Here is a 1,843-nt window from a genome sequence, read left to right as displayed (position 1 = left end):
AAAAGAAAATATTCAAGTAGATTGTAAACAGAAAAATAAATAAGGGTACTCAGCCTCACTATCAGCTTGGATCCAGTCCAGACACTAAACATAAAGCCTCAAGCTATGATGAAAGCTGGGAAAACACCAGAACACAAAAGGGACCTGGAGGGCAAGGGTAGCCCTGCCACAACCAATCACAAGCTCCACCTCCTGTCACTGCAGCATCTGTCTCAGGCCTTCTCCCAGTAGAGCTATAAATCCAGGCTTGCTCCTCACTCCCCACACATCCCCTCCTGCTATCCCTCCTCCAGATGACCCCAGCCATGAGGACCCTCACCCTCCTCACTGCCATTCTCCTGGTGCCCCTCCAGGCCCTGTCTGAGCCACTCCAGGCAAGAGCTGACTAGGCTGCAGCCCAGGAACAGCTTGGGGCAGACGACCAGGACTTTACCATCTCCTTCACTGGGGACACAAGCTCAGGTTTTAGAGCTTCAGGTGAGAGCCGCCAGCATTGCAGAGCTAGGAGTCTAGAGAGGAAAACCAGGCACCTCTAGAATCAGACCCAACAGCTGGCTCTTTCTCTTAGGTGATCACCTCCCTAGGCCTCAATTTCCTCATGTGTAGACTAAAAGGAAAGAACCAGATGATACTCCAGGGATGACTTTTCTCCGAAGATTTTTGAGTCTATGACAATTCTGAGAAGCACACTTATTTTATGCTCTGCAGAAACATACTGGGCCATCTTCCCTGCATCATTGATGAGAGCCCACTCTTGAAGAAACATGTTTCACTTTGTCTATTAGAAGAGTTTTAGAAACTAGCAAGAGGCCTATGAGTGTGATCAGATGCCTTGGTGATGGAGCAGGACTACAAAAAGGTGAGCAAATGAGAATGCGTCTCTAATCCTGCCTGTGAGCAGCACTGCTGTGTACATTGATTCCTACTGATTCAGCTGATCTTGCTGCTGCTCTGATGTGGCCACTGTGATTAACGCAATCAGCCCAGCAGGTAACTGCACGGGGATTCTGTCTACCACCCACATCTGACCCCAGTCCTAATGCCTGATGCTCTCTGTATCCCCAGGCCCAAGAACCCTCTTGAGATGCTCTTGCAGAATAAGAGATTATCATCTTCAAGAACGCAACTATGGAACCTGCACCTCCGGTGAGATTCACTACAAATTCTGCTTCCTCTGAGCTTGTGGAACAGAAGAAAGTAAGTTCATAACTAGCTTTCAGACATAGAAGATAACTTTCATTACTACTGTACTTGGTCTCCAGCTTCCTTTCCTCATCTCTCGTAAAGTCCTTGTAGCAAGTTTTGTGTTTGCACCTCTTTAATGTTTGATATGTGTCTTAGTCAAGACCATGGGATGCAAGTACCAGAACACTAAATTCTACATGTTAAACAAAAGCCAGTTCCAATTCTAGGAATATTGGAGATGAACAAAGGCTTCAGACACACATTGTTAGGAAAGCTCAAATGATGCTGCTCATCTCCCCATCTACTGCTCTGCCTTTTCACTCTGCCTCATTTTGATTGGATTCATGCAAAGATAATGCTTACGTGTTCCATAAACCATCATTGTCAGCTTCAAGCTTATACAGCCATAACACTGCTACTCCTCAGGAAAAGCCAGCACGTTCTTTCCAGAAGTGTTTGAGTTTCCCTGAGCAGTTCTGGATCGTACATCTGCTTTTTAGACCTGACATGGAATCAGCTCCATGGGAAAAAAAGAATTCAATTAAAGTGGAACTGGCTGTTACAAAGACGTGATGAGTAGAACAGAAAGCACAGAGGCACCCCTCTGGGATGTCCTCATTAAGAGTATTTTCCAGCCATATCCACCAGAATCTAGATT

General features: G+C 46.0%; 1 pseudogene across 1 annotated transcript; it reads left to right on the top strand.

Annotated features, from left to right (window-relative positions):
* The first annotated feature begins 305 nt into the window (after nt 1-305).
* Nucleotides 306-1,178, top strand: DEFA9P (defensin alpha 9, pseudogene; annotated as a pseudogene). The gene is made up of 2 exons (NR_073408.1): nt 306-477; nt 1,066-1,178. The product of NR_073408.1 is annotated as a defensin alpha 9, pseudogene (transcript).
* Nucleotides 1,179-1,843: the final 665 nt, after the last annotated feature.

Source organism: Homo sapiens, chromosome 8, assembly GCF_000001405.40.
Source record: "Homo sapiens chromosome 8, GRCh38.p14 Primary Assembly".
Classification (NCBI taxonomy): Eukaryota; Metazoa; Chordata; class Mammalia; order Primates; family Hominidae; genus Homo; species Homo sapiens.
The sequence above is the reverse complement of the archived record's forward strand: the minus strand, read 5'-3'. Positions and strand labels throughout refer to the sequence as shown.